The 14,795-nt window shown below is 43.5% G+C and overlaps 1 protein-coding gene and 1 long non-coding RNA gene across 3 annotated transcripts, besides 1 other annotated feature; one reads left to right on the forward strand and one right to left on the reverse strand.

Moving 5' to 3' along the window:
- Positions 1 to 4,639: 4,639 nt before the first annotated feature.
- ZNF669 (zinc finger protein 669) lies at positions 4,640 to 9,034 on the reverse strand. 2 transcript variants are annotated; one of them, NM_001142572.2, is made up of 4 exons: positions 8,875 to 9,034; positions 6,665 to 6,791; positions 6,409 to 6,469; positions 4,640 to 5,997 (listed from the first exon to the last, which is right to left on the reverse strand). In NM_001142572.2, exons 1-4 carry the CDS (start codon positions 8,875 to 8,877, stop codon positions 5,052 to 5,054), a joined length of 1,137 nt encoding a protein of 378 aa, NP_001136044.1. In that variant the 5' UTR covers positions 8,878 to 9,034; the 3' UTR covers positions 4,640 to 5,051. The 2 variants fall into 2 exon arrangements, with proteins under 2 accessions (NP_001136044.1, NP_079080.2); NM_024804.3 differs by having other exon boundaries at positions 8,617 to 9,034.
- Positions 8,985 to 9,279: an enhancer, noted in NCBI's record as "tiled region #11854; HepG2 Activating DNase unmatched - State 1:Tss, and K562 Activating DNase matched - State 1:Tss". NCBI's record gives its function as "activates a minimal TATA promoter and a strong SV40 promoter by Sharpr-MPRA in HepG2 and K562 cells {active_cell/tissue: HepG2 | K562}" and the evidence as "EXISTENCE:reporter gene assay evidence [ECO:0000049][PMID:27701403]".
- FLJ39095 (uncharacterized LOC400812) lies at positions 9,189 to 14,239 on the forward strand. Its single transcript, NR_147502.1, has 3 exons — positions 9,189 to 10,318; positions 10,671 to 10,829; positions 13,050 to 14,239. It is a non-coding gene; the product is annotated as an uncharacterized LOC400812 (long non-coding RNA).
- The last annotated feature ends 556 nt before the right edge of the window (positions 14,240 to 14,795 follow it).

A 14,795-nucleotide genomic window follows, 5' to 3' on the forward strand; every position in this document is an offset into this window, starting at 1 on the left:
ACATAGGTGGGTCGCACACAATTTTAGTACTCATTGGTCAGGAAACCCATGTCCACTATAGGATATTGCAGAGCGGTGCATTATGGAGAATTTAGGCAACATAATATGGTTTTCAGAGTTAAAGGAAGACCACCTGTCTTATGTACAGTAATTCGTCATAATATCCTAGGGGATACCACATTTAAACTTCGGGGTATCCCTAGGTATATTCTTTGAGCCACATGTGAATTTCAGACACGGAGGCTTCTCAATTTTGGTGCCTTTCAACAAATGTTGAAGTTAATTCCCAACCTATTTTGTGGAGGCATAAAATTCAATGAGCACTCATTTAACCTTTTATTTTAAATATTATTTTAGTAAACTTTGTATTTCCAATTAGGTGAAATTTTAAACCCGTTTCAGTTTTTATCCACTCTTTTTAGGCGGAGGGGAGTAAGGGTTGCTTTCAGCTAGGAGGGACTCCCACGTACCCAACCCATTTGTGTAAATTTCTTCCTTCAGAGTTCTTCAAATCAGCATCACCATTGTTAAAGGCCTCCCACATGGTAATAATTGTGCTACAGAGTTTTAAGAACATTAAGTTTATGTCTGGCTGAATTAACCTCTTTGCTGTGGCACAAGGGGGCCATAGGTGTTTTCACCAATTATGAAGCGGGTTCACTGTGCAATGACTACCGACTTTTCTGAGAACGAGATCAAACACATTCACACATAAAACCCATGAAGTGAATTTACTACTTACAAATAGGAAACAAAAGACAACAGAAGTCTAGGATTCGATATGAACTGCTACCACAAGATCAGGAAAGTATCCAGAGCAGATGGATGGAGCCTTGACTGCAGGTGCTTCACTTGCACTACAACTGAGTGACCCCAGAAAGCAGCCCACCTTGGGTTTTATATCCCAGGATGTGATTTGCTGGAGCGTTGAGGACCATTCTGTTTCAAGCAGGGACTATAACAGAGCCTGGGTTGTTCTGGCCAATGTCAACTGATTATCAGGATATTGCATTCTCAGCATATTGTACAGTTATCGTGAGAACTACCAGTAAGAAAGGGGGGAAAACTGTGTCAGTCTGAGACTACCTGGAAAACTGCCCTGCACCCTGAAAACTGAAGGATCAGGATATTTGTTGTGACAGAGGCACAGACAGTAGCGATAGAGTGTTCTTGTGAGCCATCTACTAGTTTTCTCGACCGAAGCATGGCACCTGACTGCTTTTCTCTTTCCTTACAATGGAAACTGTTTCAGAATATTTTGAGTTTCTGCGTATATAGAGTTGCGGCACATGATCACTGGAAGTGTAGACTATCTGCATGGTCAAAGGAAAGAGTTCAGGAGCCCATCAACCCACATTAGAGGAAACCACCTAATCCTCCAGAGAGTGCCACTCAGTCTTCCTGGGGTTAGCTCCACATGCAGTAAGGCCATTACGTCGAAGGCCATCAAGCCTTGCAGTCTGAAGATTAGACTTCTGACATGCTGATAAGCAGCAGTGATAAGAAAAGCCCACACACTGGCTAGGAATTTTTCAATGGAAGCAGCTGAGATGCTTCTTCATATGCTTTGGCAGGGGCTAATATCAAACTATTTCTTCCCATTTTCTTTACTCATCAGCGCCTGAATCATGAGGCACCACAGACGTACACCTCACGAGGAGGGTGTATGGGACAGCAGCAAGGGGAGCAGCAGCACAAGAAACAAACAAGGCCACTACTTCTGCCTGCATTAACGGTAACTACTGTCTTGGGAGTGTACAATAATTAATGTTCACGTGGCTGCCCTAAGCATACAGTGATGGTGACCAGAGCAGATGCAGTGACACAGAGATACAGCCTGATTCTTGCTAATTAGGATTTAGGTGTTGGCTTGTTTATGTGCTGTGCTTTTGGGCATTAAACTGCCTGCTAAGCACAGGCCAAATGTCATGCTGGGGTGCAATTAAACATTCACGTCTAGGAGATGAGAGCATTTTAGTGTGGGAGTAGATGACAACACCTGAAGACAACAAAACACTGTGCAGACCAAAGTGAAGGCCCATCGTCAGCTCATGGTTCTGACCCAGGTGATTTCTGATGTGTTACGGAACCAGTCAGCCGACAGCAGGTAGATAAAGTTGAGCAGGTGTCCTGCATGAGGGCTGCTCCATTCCATTTGTGTTGCCAATTGTTTCAATAGCGTCTCATGCACCCCATTGGTGAGGAAGGAATTAGCACCCTATGTCTACTGGTACCGTTAAACACATGACATCTATTACTAAACAGATAAACTAAACATCAGTTATTAATTACATACAGGAGGATGGTGTAAGCTCCCACAGGCCCAAACAGGGATTAACTTGGGAGCAGAGAGTGGTACAGCATTAAAAAAGTGAGGATGTTCCTTTGTTCCTACAGGAGTATGTGATTGGTTTGTCTGTTGGCTGGTAGGGAACTGAATCATGTGACACTGACTGGTAAGACTGTAATACTGTAAAATACACAAACTATAATACCGTAACGGTGTAATACTATATACAATACCAAAGGCATTGATGAAAAACCCAACGCTATCACATGTGACTGTGAGACTGAATGCTTCCTCCCTCAGACTGGTTACAACATATTGTCCTATCACAGTTCTCTCTCCTTCATTCAAAGTGAACTATGCAAATAACAGACAGAAATAATAAAGAATAAAGGGCAACAAATGCAAAGAACTCACGAGATGATACTCTATGATAAACTTTATGTACTTAGGAATTAATACCAACTCATTATTAGCAAAAAATAAACATCTTTACACCAAGAGTAGTTTTTCCTTTAATAAAAAAAGGTGGAATGTGTATAATGGACAAGGGATAACCAAAATTTGCCAAGTGAGGCTAGTAAGAAAATCGCAACAATTAGCAATCATTACTCACTGGTCCATTAATCACAGAACAATACATACAAATTAAACTTACTCCGCTGGGCACAGTGGCTCATGCCTGTAATCCCAGCACTTTGGGAGGCTGAGGGGGGGCAAATCATGAGGTCAGGAGTTCAAGACCAGCCTAGCCAACATGGTGAAACCCTGTCTCTACTAAAAATACAAAAAATTAGCTGGACATAGTGGTGGGCGCCTGTAATCCCAGCTACTCGGGAGGCTGAGGCAGGAGAATTGCTTAAACCCAGGAGGCAGAGGTTGCAGTGAGCCAAGACCGCACCACTGCACTCCAGCCTGGGCAACAGAGTGAGACTCCATCTCAAAAAAATAATAATAAAATAAAAAAATTAAACTTACCTACATATTAGAAAAACATCAAAATTCAACCATGAATCCAGCACATTATCAAATGAACAGACAAAAATTCTACCAACAAACTGAAGAAAGTATCATTACTATGAAATTCAAGTACTGCTTAAAAAGCATTTACAGAACTCTCACCTCAAGGTTTTCCTGCAAAATAAAGTGAAATGCATACTCAAGACTCTTTAAGAATGAGCCACTGATGAAAACAATATACTTGCAACTTGTGTAACATTTCATACATGTACATTTTTTTCAAGCACCGCACGATAATTAATTTGCATCAGGCTTTCCAAATTAGAAAAACTTCACTTATAGAACTTCTTTCCAGTGGGAGTTTTCACGACTTTTCAAATAAATGTTAAAACTGAAAATATTCTTGCAGTTTCTAAATATTAGTTGTAATCCTGTGTACATTTTTGTATTTACAAGGTCCAGCTGCAGTGTGCATTTTCACATGTCCTTGAGCAGATATGAGAGAAATGAAAACATTCCCACATTCTGGACATTCATAGGGTTTTTCTCAGGAATGAGTTGATGTCTTCAAACGGAACTAAAACAACTGAAGGCCTTAACACAAATTTAAATTTAAAAGGCTCTTCTCCACTCTGAGTCCTCCCAAATCTTCAAAATAGGAAAATCTGAAGGCTTGACCACATTTCCTACATTCTTAAGGTTTTCTGAAGTGTGAGCTCTTTCATGTTTATGAGGGAATGGGAAAGAGTAAATGCTTTACCACATTTCTTACACGCATAAGGCCTTTTTTTTGAGACGGAGTCTCACTCTGTTGCCAGGCTGGAGTGCAGTGGCACAATTTCAGCTCACTGCAACCTCTGCCTCCTGGGTTCAAGTGATTCTCCTGCCTCAGCCTCCTGAGTAGCTGGGACTACAGACACCCGCCAACACACCCAGCTAATTTTTGTATTTTTAGTAGAGACAGGGTTTCACCATGTTGGCCAGGATGGTCTCGATCTCTTGACCTTGTGATCCACCCACCTCGGCCTCCCAAAGTGCTGGGATTACAGGCGTGAGCCACCATGCCCAGCCGCATAGGGCTTTTTTGAGATGGAGTCTCACTCTGTCACCAGGCTGGAGTGCAGTGGTGCCATCTCAGCTAACTGCAACCTCCAACTCCCCGGTTCAAACGATTCTCCTGCCTCAGCCTCCTGAGTAGCTGGGATTACAAGCATATGCCACCACACCCAGCTAATTTTTGTGTTTTTAGTAGAGACGAGGTTTCACCATGTTGGCCAGGATGGTCTCAATCTCCCGACCTCGTGATCTGCATGCACAGGGCTTCCCCGCCTGCTGCGCACGGCTTTTCATGTCCTTGAAAAACAACTAAGACAACTGCAATGTGCCACCATGCCCAGCTAATTATTTTTTTATTTTATTTTATCTTATTTTTTGAGACAGAGTCTCACTCTGTCACCCAGGCTGAAGTGCAGTGGTGCGATCTCGGCTCACTGCAAGTTCCGCCTCCCGGGTTCATGCCATTCTCCTGCCTCAGCCTCCCGAGTAACTGGGACCACAGGCGTCTGCCACCACGCCCAGCTAATTTTTTGTATTTTTAGTAGAGACGGGGTTTCACCGTGTTGGCCAGGATGGTCTCGATCTCCTGACCTCGTGATCCACCCGCCTCGGCCTCCCAAAGTGCTGGGATTACAGGCGTAAGCCACCGTGCCCGGCATTATTTTATTTTTTGTAAAGACAGGGTTTCACCATGTTGCCCAGGTTGTTTCACATTGTTTTAATCCAGGCTGGTTATGAACTCCTGGGCTCAAGCAATCCACACGCCTTGGCCTCCCAAAGTGCTGGGATTATAGGCTGAGTCACTACACCCAGCCTCTATATCATGACTTCTTTCATGGCGAGTAAGGTGACTGGAACGAGTGTAGGCTTTACCGCATTTCTTACATTCATAGGGTTTTTCTCCAGTATGAATTCTTTCGTGGAGGTGAAGGGAACTGAGGCGACTGAAGGCTTGATCACATTGTTTACATTCATAGGGTTTCTCTCCGGTATGAGTACTTCTATGGTTACAAAGGGAACTCAAACGACTAAAGGCTTTGCCACATTGTTTACACTCATAGGGTCTCTCTCCAGTATGAATGCTTCCATGGTAACGAAGGGAAGTGGAACAGCTGAAGGCTTTATCACATTTGGTACATTTATAGGGTCTTTCTCCAGTGTGAGTCCTTTCATGCGTCTTAAAAGAACAAGAAAATCTGAATGTTTTCCCACATTCCTTACATTCGTAGGGTTTCTCTCCAGTGTGAGTTCGTTCATGTATTAGACAAGAACCGGAAACAGTGAATGCTTTACCACATTGTTTACATTTATAGGGTTTTTCTCCTGTGTGAGTTCTCTGATGTCTTTCAACTGAATTGAGAAAATAAAAAGCTTTCCCACATATCGTACATTTATAAGCTGGATTTCCACTGTGCATTATCATGTGTCTTCTAACACCTGGAACAGAAACGAAGAATTTCCCACACTGTTCACATTTATATTGCTTCTCTCCATATGGTTTGTATCCTGAGTGAGCTAGGATATGCCTATTAAGGAGGGAATGACGTACAAAGACTTTTCCACAAATACTGCATTCACATGGTTTTAATCCAGTAGAAATGTTCTCGTTCAGATCAAGATTTGGAATTTGGCTGACAACTTCTCCATACTGACCATCTTCTTTACTTTCACACAGTCTCTGTACGATATGATTTCTGTAAAAAAATGACAAGCACATTATTATTGGTTGGTTTATTAATAACTTTCTACTTATTAATAGGTCTTGGACTTACACTGCTACCAATATCAGGGAAAATGCATTTTTTTTTTTGCCATGACTGAATTATTTCAAAGTAAATGGGTTACTACTGAAAACACAGCTACCACCTGCATGGCTATGACCAAAATAGTAATATTCATATACACAGTTTTGTAGTACTATTTTCAAGTAAACTCTTTTGCAAACACTGACTGCTACATTGAAGTACGTTACATTTTGGGTGAAATTTTTCTAAAAATAAATAAATTTCAAGTGACTCTTATTTGTTTTGATTGCTTGTTTTTAAGTTCATGACATGCTAAGATTCCTTCAGAGGACTTTATTTCCTCTGCTCAGTGCAAATTACCTTATATCTTTCCCAGGTTTTTCGAAGTGATCTTCAATATTCTGGTCTTTCCATTGGCTTCCTAAAATGCAGACCCATAAAATTATCATGAATTATTACAAACTGTAGACACATTACTAGATTTAATGTTCACTGTACACAGTGCCCATGCCTGATTTATTCACCAAATCATTCCCTTGCCACATTCCAAATCATAAATAGCACTGATGATAGGGAAAGACTTCTGTAATTAACTGAAATGTGTTGTCATTCTTACCTACAGAAGCCAGGTTCCTGCAGGTTTCCTGCATCACTTCTCTGTAGAGATTCTTCTGAGAAGAATCTAGCAAAGCCCATTCCTCCTGGGTAAAGTTCACAGCCACATCCTCAAAAGCCACCGAGTCCTAGAACATTCCACACATGTGGATAGAAGGATGGGTGAGACTGACAGCACTGGGAATCTATACTCAATTCATAAGCTGTTTACATGATTTGATAATTTCCAAGCATTTATTCTATGACTTGATTGTCACAACTCTTACTCTGTTCACACATACTCCCTCCCACACAGCAGTACTAATGCTAGAATTGAACTATTCAAAAAGGCAACAGCAAAGTGGAAATACCCATCTCATTAGAGAATCCAGGGAGTAAGATGTGCTGCTAGGTTACCTCTTAATTTCACTTCGTACATTTCTAGTATCTGCCATAATAAAGTCCTACCTGATGTGCATAAGTGAGTTAATAATATCAGTCCTAAGACTACTTATTCTTAAAAATGCCTGCTCACAAAGTTCAATCTTTGTTTGTATTAGTAACTTACATTTTGAAAGGGATTCCACCAACCTAAGTAATAAGAATGACTCACTGCATCTAAATGGTTTATGCAATATAGTTGCCAAAACTTTTTCTGCTAAAGGTCTATTATTTTGTGTCACTGCAGTGGTGCTTAGGGAACCAGACACCAAAACACAGTCTGAACACTAAGTGTTTAATGAGTTTCCCTGGTAGACAATATTTTATATGTGCTGTCACTTGTTAATTGGGGAGTTGAGCCCATTCCATGTGATTACACCAAGAGAGAATAGGCTTATTAAATTTAATTGAGTAGTAAATAAAACCAATAATTGATATTTAACAATTTACTAATACAATTTTTAAATTTCTATTGCACAATGTCAAGGCAGAATGGAATAAGAGGAAATATGGCACATGTTTTTTAAAATGACATTAATGTCACCACTTCCAGATGCTATTCCTGTGAAATCACATAAATTCCCAAATCAGGCTTTTTTAGGCAAGAAAAACTAGTTTTTCATACCTAGTAAAAATGACAAATGTCTAATGATTTTCAGTCATCTAAAAAAAGAGTTATGTCTTGCCTAACATACTTTTAAGATTTTCAACCAAAAATATTCAGGACAGCACAGTATTAGCAGAGAGATGAGCAAGCAGACCAAGGGCTGAGGACACAACACCCTGTAAAGTTTTCACAGGGGGACATCAACCTAAAGACATTTTGGTAATATGCACACTTAGGAAAGATGAAGAGAGGCACAAAGATTTTTTTACAGTAGAGTGTCAGATGGTTTATTCTCCGCTTTCCTCTCATGTAAAATGTTTGTAAACAGAAAAATATTTTGGCCGAGCGCGGTGGCTCACGCCTGTAATCTCAGCGCTTTAGGAGGCCGAGACGGGCGGATCACTTAAGGTCAGGAGTTCGAGACCAACCTAGCCAACATGGCGAAACCCTGTCTCTACCAAAAATACAAAAATTAGCTGGGCGTGGTGGCGGGCGCCTGTAATCCCAACTACTCGGGAGGCTGAGGCAGGAGAATCGCTTGAACCCGGGAGTCAGAGGTTGCAATGAGTGAGACTGCATCATTGCACTCCAGCCTGGCGACAGGGCGAGATTCCGTCTCCAAAAAAAAAAAAAAAAAAAAAAAAAAAGAATATGGTTTGCTTCCTCATTAACCTTATCAAAGCCTCTCATTTACGCCCCTTCTGTGGACCCCAAACCACAAACCATGACTGCGGTACCTGGTTTATGAATCGCCGTTTGCTCAAACACACGGTTTAACGTTTTAACAAAGCCTCGGCTTAATTTTAGGGGAAGAAAGGTGGGACTGGAAGCCCCATGAACCACAGCTCCTCCCATGCTGGAACCCCGCACACCGAGACACCGAGTCGGGGCTCTCCCGCATCACCCTCCCGTGGTCACCACACTACCTGGATAGGGGAGGCGAGGGGTTCCCGACAGGGCTCCGGCCGGCGGAAGTGGCGCCCGCAGGTACAGACAGGATGCAGGGGTTCCGCTGCCCGCCCCGCCCGGCCCGGCCCTGAACAGAAGAGGACTGAGCCCCGGCTACGCCACGGCGACTCGGTCCGCAGGTTCCGGAGCCGATGGCGTGGAGGCCCGAGTCGCGCCACAGCAGGTTTCAACCAGCCCTCTTCTCCACTTCGGGAAGCCAGGCGCAGTCCACTCACCATTCCTCGGCTTCCCGGGTGTCCTGGCGTCAGCTAGGGATGTCCCAATACTCGCAGGTCACAGGGTGGCAGAGGCTGCTGCAGAGCCACCTGGGCCTCCCAGAGCCAAGAACTAGCAGCGGAGACTAACAGGAAGAGCCGGCTCCGGCGAAGGAGAGACAAAGCAACCGCCAGGCAGATCCCGGAAGCCGCCCTCTCCTTTCCGGCGGCGCGCCTGATTGAACGGTCCCCACCCCAGCGCCCCTGATTGGATGGGGCTTCAGGCCCCGCCCCTCAGGCCCTGAGTGACAGGAGATTGCGATCTCACGTGAGGCTGGATGAGGTCAGAATGACCGCTTTTGGCCTAGCGGTTTGTAGGCGGTGCGTCCTTCCTGCGCTGGGATCCGACCATGCAAGAAGGACATTCACATTTAACCTGTATACAAGTTATAGCTATTTGTGCCTTTTATATATATATATATATATAAAATTGGAAGCAATATAATGACAGTTCTGTAACTGCCCAGGGAGTTCACCTTGCCCGCTACCTAGACAGAGCCGATTTCTCAAGACAGGGGAATAGCAATAGAGAAAGAGTAATTCACGCAGTGTCCTCTGTGCGGGAGACCGGAGTTTTTTTATTTTATTTTATTTTTTTGAAACAGAATCTTGCTCTGTCTCCCAGGCTGGAGTGCAGGCTTGGAGTTTTATGATTATTCAAATCAGTCTCCCTGAGCATTTGGGGTAAGAGTATTTAGAACGTTTATTTTGCCAAGGTTGGGGATGCATATGCATGACACAGCCTCAGGATGTCCTTGATGACATGTGCCCAAGGTGGTCAGAGCACAGCTTGGTTTTGTTGGAGAGAAATGCTCGGTGCCGCAAAGTGAAACCAGCACTCAAGCGAAAGTTTTCTCAGCAACGCAATTTACTTCTGCAGAAGCGTGCTGCTCGCATCAATCACGATCGCAAGAGCACACTGAACAGAGGAAAGCAGGGGTTTTTATTCCTAACGCAGTCCCTACCTCTGGCATGGGCTGGGGTCAGACCGCACGATCTAAACTGACCCGGTTGGCTATTTGTGAATATTTTCCCAAATAAGGAAGGGGGAAGGGGGATGTGAGTTACAATGGTGGGACTTGCGGTTTCCAAGGGAGAAATGGGTGCAGAGCAGGTAACCAAGGGAACAGATGTGAGTTATTGATTAGAACTGACGGAAGGTTGTTTACAGTAACTAAGGGCAAGGAGGCATGGAGAACAAGAAAGTTGAGTTCGAAAACAAAAAAACAAGAAAGTTAACATGCCAAACCTTGGAAGAGAAACTGACTGTATCTGACAGCTTTATACATTTTAGGGAAACAGGAGACATCAATCAACATATGTAAGATGAACACTGGTTTGATCCGGGACAACCTGAAGCAAAAGCGGGTCAACTCGAAGCCAGGAGGGGGCTTCCAGGTCACAGGTAGGTGAGAGACAAACGGTTGCATTCTTTTGAGTTTCTGATTAGCCTTTCCAAAGGAGGCAATAAGATATGCATTCATCTCAGTGAGCAGGGGATGACTCTGAATAGAATGGGAGGCAGGTTTGCCCTAAGCAGTTCCCAGATTGACTTTCCCCTTTAGCTTAGTGATCTGGGGGGCTCAAAACATTTTCCTTTCCAATTTCCCCCTTTTCTTTTAAAAATATTTTGGAGAAAGCATTTTAGAAGAAAATCAGTCTCTGGTCCCAGGTTTTGTCCAATCTCTCATGGAGTAGCTGGGATTACAGGCACTGGACACCACGCCTGCCTAATTTTTTTTTTTTTTTTTTCGTAGAAATGGGGTCTCCCTCAGTTGCCCAGGCTGGTCTCTGGTGCCCAACGCCGGGCTCCCGGTAATCTCTACAAATAATCCAGTGAAGGAATGCCAGAGAGTGGAAAGTGGAGGATGACTGACAAAGGACGCCCGAGTACGTTTTCACTTCAAGCTCTACAGGTAAGTAGGGCGCTCGGAAAATTCCAGGGTAACCTCCGGAAACTATGGGTCAGGCTGAGAGTAAGTTTGCTAATTACTGAAGCCTTGTCCGGCAGTTACTGCGCCGCGGAGGGGTAATTGTGAGTACCCAAAATCTCCCATCTTTGTTCTATCTGGTAAAAAAGTATTCTCTTTGGTTCCCGGAATATGGAACCATGAATGTAAAAGACTGGGACAAGGTCGGATCAGACTTAAAACGAGCACAACAAGAGGGCCACGATATTCCCTTCTTGCTTGGTCTGCGTGGCCTGCAATTAAAACAGCACTGGAGCCCTTCCACACTGAGGAGGAGCTTCAGGATGACATAGAAAACTTTAATAATCAGGAGTCTAATGATCAGCAAAATCAACCATCACAGTCTAGTTTTAAAAAGGCCGAGAAACGGGAAGGTATATATGCTAATCTCCAAAAACTTATAAAAGAAACAGTGCCACCTACTTCGCCTTTAGGGGAAGGTCTGGAATGGCCACCCCCGGCTCAGCCTTACAAATTTTTGGAACTGGAGCCTGAGACGCGGCTTGCCGCTCCCATTGTTGCAGGCCCCACCAATAACTATGGCGAAGGGAAGCTTCAGGCTCGCCTAACAGCCAATTACGATCAGGGAATGATCCTCTACCACCTGTTAATTGTGGTAGAGGAATGCTGCGAGCCGGTCCAAATACAAATTATGGCACGGGGACAATCCCGTCATCCATTCGCCAGGCATGAGAAATGGGGGATTTGGATGCTTTGCAGTTTCTGGTAATTAATTCGCCAGTTGAGGAGCCCAGAGAACATGCTCAAGCATGCTGGCAGCCACTTCCTTTTAAAATATTAAAATACTTAAAGCAAGCAATTGGACAATATGGGCCAAATTCTCCTTATGTTCATTCCTTGTTACAATCTGTGGCTTATAACAGGCGTTTAATACCTATGGATTGGGAGGCACTAGCCCAATCCACTCCGTCCCCCTCTGAATTTCTCCAATTTAAAACCTGGTGGACAGATGAAGCAACAAATCGGGCATGCAGAAATGCTCAAGTCCAACGTCCCGTTAATATCACATCTGATCAATTGCTTGGAATCACATGGGGTACTCTAAATCAACAGAATGGTAATGGGTGATGAGGTTGTTGATCAGGTCAGAACTATATGCCTAAGAGCCTGGGAAAAAATTCACAACCCTGGTACAACTTATCCGTGTTTTAACTCAGTTCGACAGGGTCCAAGGGAGCCTTATCCAGATTTTATTGCCCGTTTGTAAGATGCGGCTCAAAAGGCTATTTCAGATTTTCATGCCAGGAAAGTGATCGTTCAGCTGCTTGCTGATGAAAATGCTAATACAGAATGTCAGGCAGCAATTAGACCTATTAAAGGAAAGGCAGATCTAAATGAGGAAAAAGCTTTAAGTGAATACATTAAAGCCTGTGATGGCATTGGGGAGCACTTATATAAGGCCAGCTTCCTTGCTCAGGCAATGGCTGGACTAAGGGTAACAAAAAACACATGAGTGTTCCCCAGGTCTTGCTATAATTGTGGACAGATAGGACATACAAAAAGAGAGTGTACAAAGAGGCAAAAAAGGCAAAACTCAGGACCGGGCCCCAATTCAAAACGGGGCATTCCCAATTCAGGACGGGACATCCCTGACTCCAAATGGAGTGTTCCCAAATGGATTGAGGCAGGTTTCAACCAGCCCTCTTCCCCACTTTGGGAAGCCAGCCGCAGTCCAGGAAGGTCCCAAAAGGAGTTTATGGCCCACTGCCAAATGGCACGGTGGGACTTATACTGGGAAGGTCCAACTTAAAGGGAATTCAAGTACATACAGGAGTAGTGGACTCTGATTGCTACGGAGAAATTCAAATTGTTATCTCCTCCACTGTTCCCTGGAGTGCTAATCCACGTGACAGAATAGCTCAACTGTTGCTTTTGCCGTATGTTAAGTTAGGAGAAAGCTCAGAAAAAAGAATAGGAGGATTTGGAAGCACAAATTCAGCAGGCAAGGCTGCCTATTGGGTAAATCAAGTCTCTGACAATAGACCTATTTGTATGGTCACCATTCAAGGAAAACAATTTGAGGGTCTGGTCAACATAGGAGCAGATGTGTCGATCATAGCTCTTTACCAATGGCCAAAAAACTGGCCCAAACAAAAGGCCCCAGTGGGTCTTGTTGAGGTTGAGGATTTGCTTGTATTTCACCAGGAGAGAATCAGCTTCCTGTCTGGGTACCCACAAGACATCTTAAGCTGTGCCATGAGACAGAGTCCAAGAAGAGGAAAAGACCTCAGAATGTCTCTGCGCCCCCAGTTCGTCAGACGGCTCAGATGAACATCTCTGTTGAGCAGATGGAAACCAGTAAAACTCCCCAAGCAACTCCACCGACCTGGGGGCAGATGAAGAGACTGGCTCACATTGCAGAAGAGAACCTGAGGTCTCAGAACAAGCCGCTGACCACCAGTAATCTAATGGTAGCTATGATGGCGGTAATCTCCTTGGTGGTGAGTCTTCCTGTAGCAGAGGCAGATCAAAATTACACCTATTTTTGTAATAGGAGGAAGGAGGAGGAGGAGGAATGTTAATGAATGTTTCTATTGGTTATCGCTTTCCTGCCATCTGCCTGGGGCCAGCAGCAGGATTTTTAAATTATGATACACAAAGTTGGATGGTTTATGTTCCTGCACATAACGGATCAAAAGCCTTTATTCATGCAATCAGTGGAAGAACATTTCAATCTTTGGACACTATTAAATACCTTGAGCATGGCTATGTTGTGACACATCGCCAGATTAATAAATTTAAACCTAATAAGAACCTCCTGTTATTAAACGGTCAGAAAAGCTAGAGGTGCTAACCTGGGAAGATTATATTGCAAACAGTGCTGCTGTACTACAAAATAATTCCTATGGAATCATCATTGATTGGGCCCCTAGGGGACAATTTGCAGTAAATTGTACTGGACAGAGTGAAGATTGTAGAGAGACTATTTTGCAAACGACTACCCAGATAATGCACCAAAATTACATAGAAGAATTGAAACAAATTACCCTATTAAGTGGGAGGAGAACGGTATGGCTCCTCCAAGCCCAAAAATTATTGATCCAATTATAAGCCCAGAACATCCAGAATTGTGGAAATTAATGATGGCTCAAAGCCCAATTCGGATTTGGAAAGCAGAATGTAAAACAGAGACCCATAGTAAAAAACTTCGATTTGTTGTAGCCATGACCTCTAATCAGATGGTCCCATTGCAGAGTTGTGTTAAACCTCCTTTTATGTTGGCAGTGGGAAAAATTAATATCTTACCTGACTCTCAAACCATATCATGCCTCAACTGTCGTCTTTTTACCTGCATTATTTCTGCCTTTAATAAAGATAATAGCATTTTACTGGTTAGGGCCCGAGAAGGAGTTTGGATACCTGTTTTCCTCAATAGACCTTGGGAGGCCTGTCCCTCCATACATATTATCACTGAAGTACTAAAAGGAATACTTAATAGATCAAAGAGATTCCTATTTACTTTAATAGCTGTGGTCCTGGGCCTTGCTGGTGTTGCTTTGCACTCTTCTATTCAAACTGCGGACTTTGTGGGTAGTTGGCAGAAAAATTATTCTAAGCTTTGGAATTCCCAAAGCCAAATAGATCAAAAATTGGCAAATCAAATTAATGATCTCCGTCAAACAGTAATTTGGATGGGAGATCGGATTATGAGCTTGGAGCATAGAATTCAAATGCAATGTGATTGGAATACTTCTGAGTTTTGTATTACTCCTAGCTCTTACAATGCCACTGAACACGATTGGGAGATGATTAGACGTCACCTACAAGGAAAAGAAGATAATTTAACATTAGATATTGCTAAACCGAAAAGACAGCTTTTTGAGGCATCTCAGGCTCATCTCAGCCTGTTGCCTGGAGCTGATATTCTTACTGGAGCCGCTGATGGCCTTT

Source organism: Homo sapiens, chromosome 1 (genome assembly GCF_000001405.40).
Source record: "Homo sapiens chromosome 1, GRCh38.p14 Primary Assembly".
Taxonomy (NCBI): domain Eukaryota; kingdom Metazoa; phylum Chordata; class Mammalia; order Primates; family Hominidae; genus Homo; species Homo sapiens.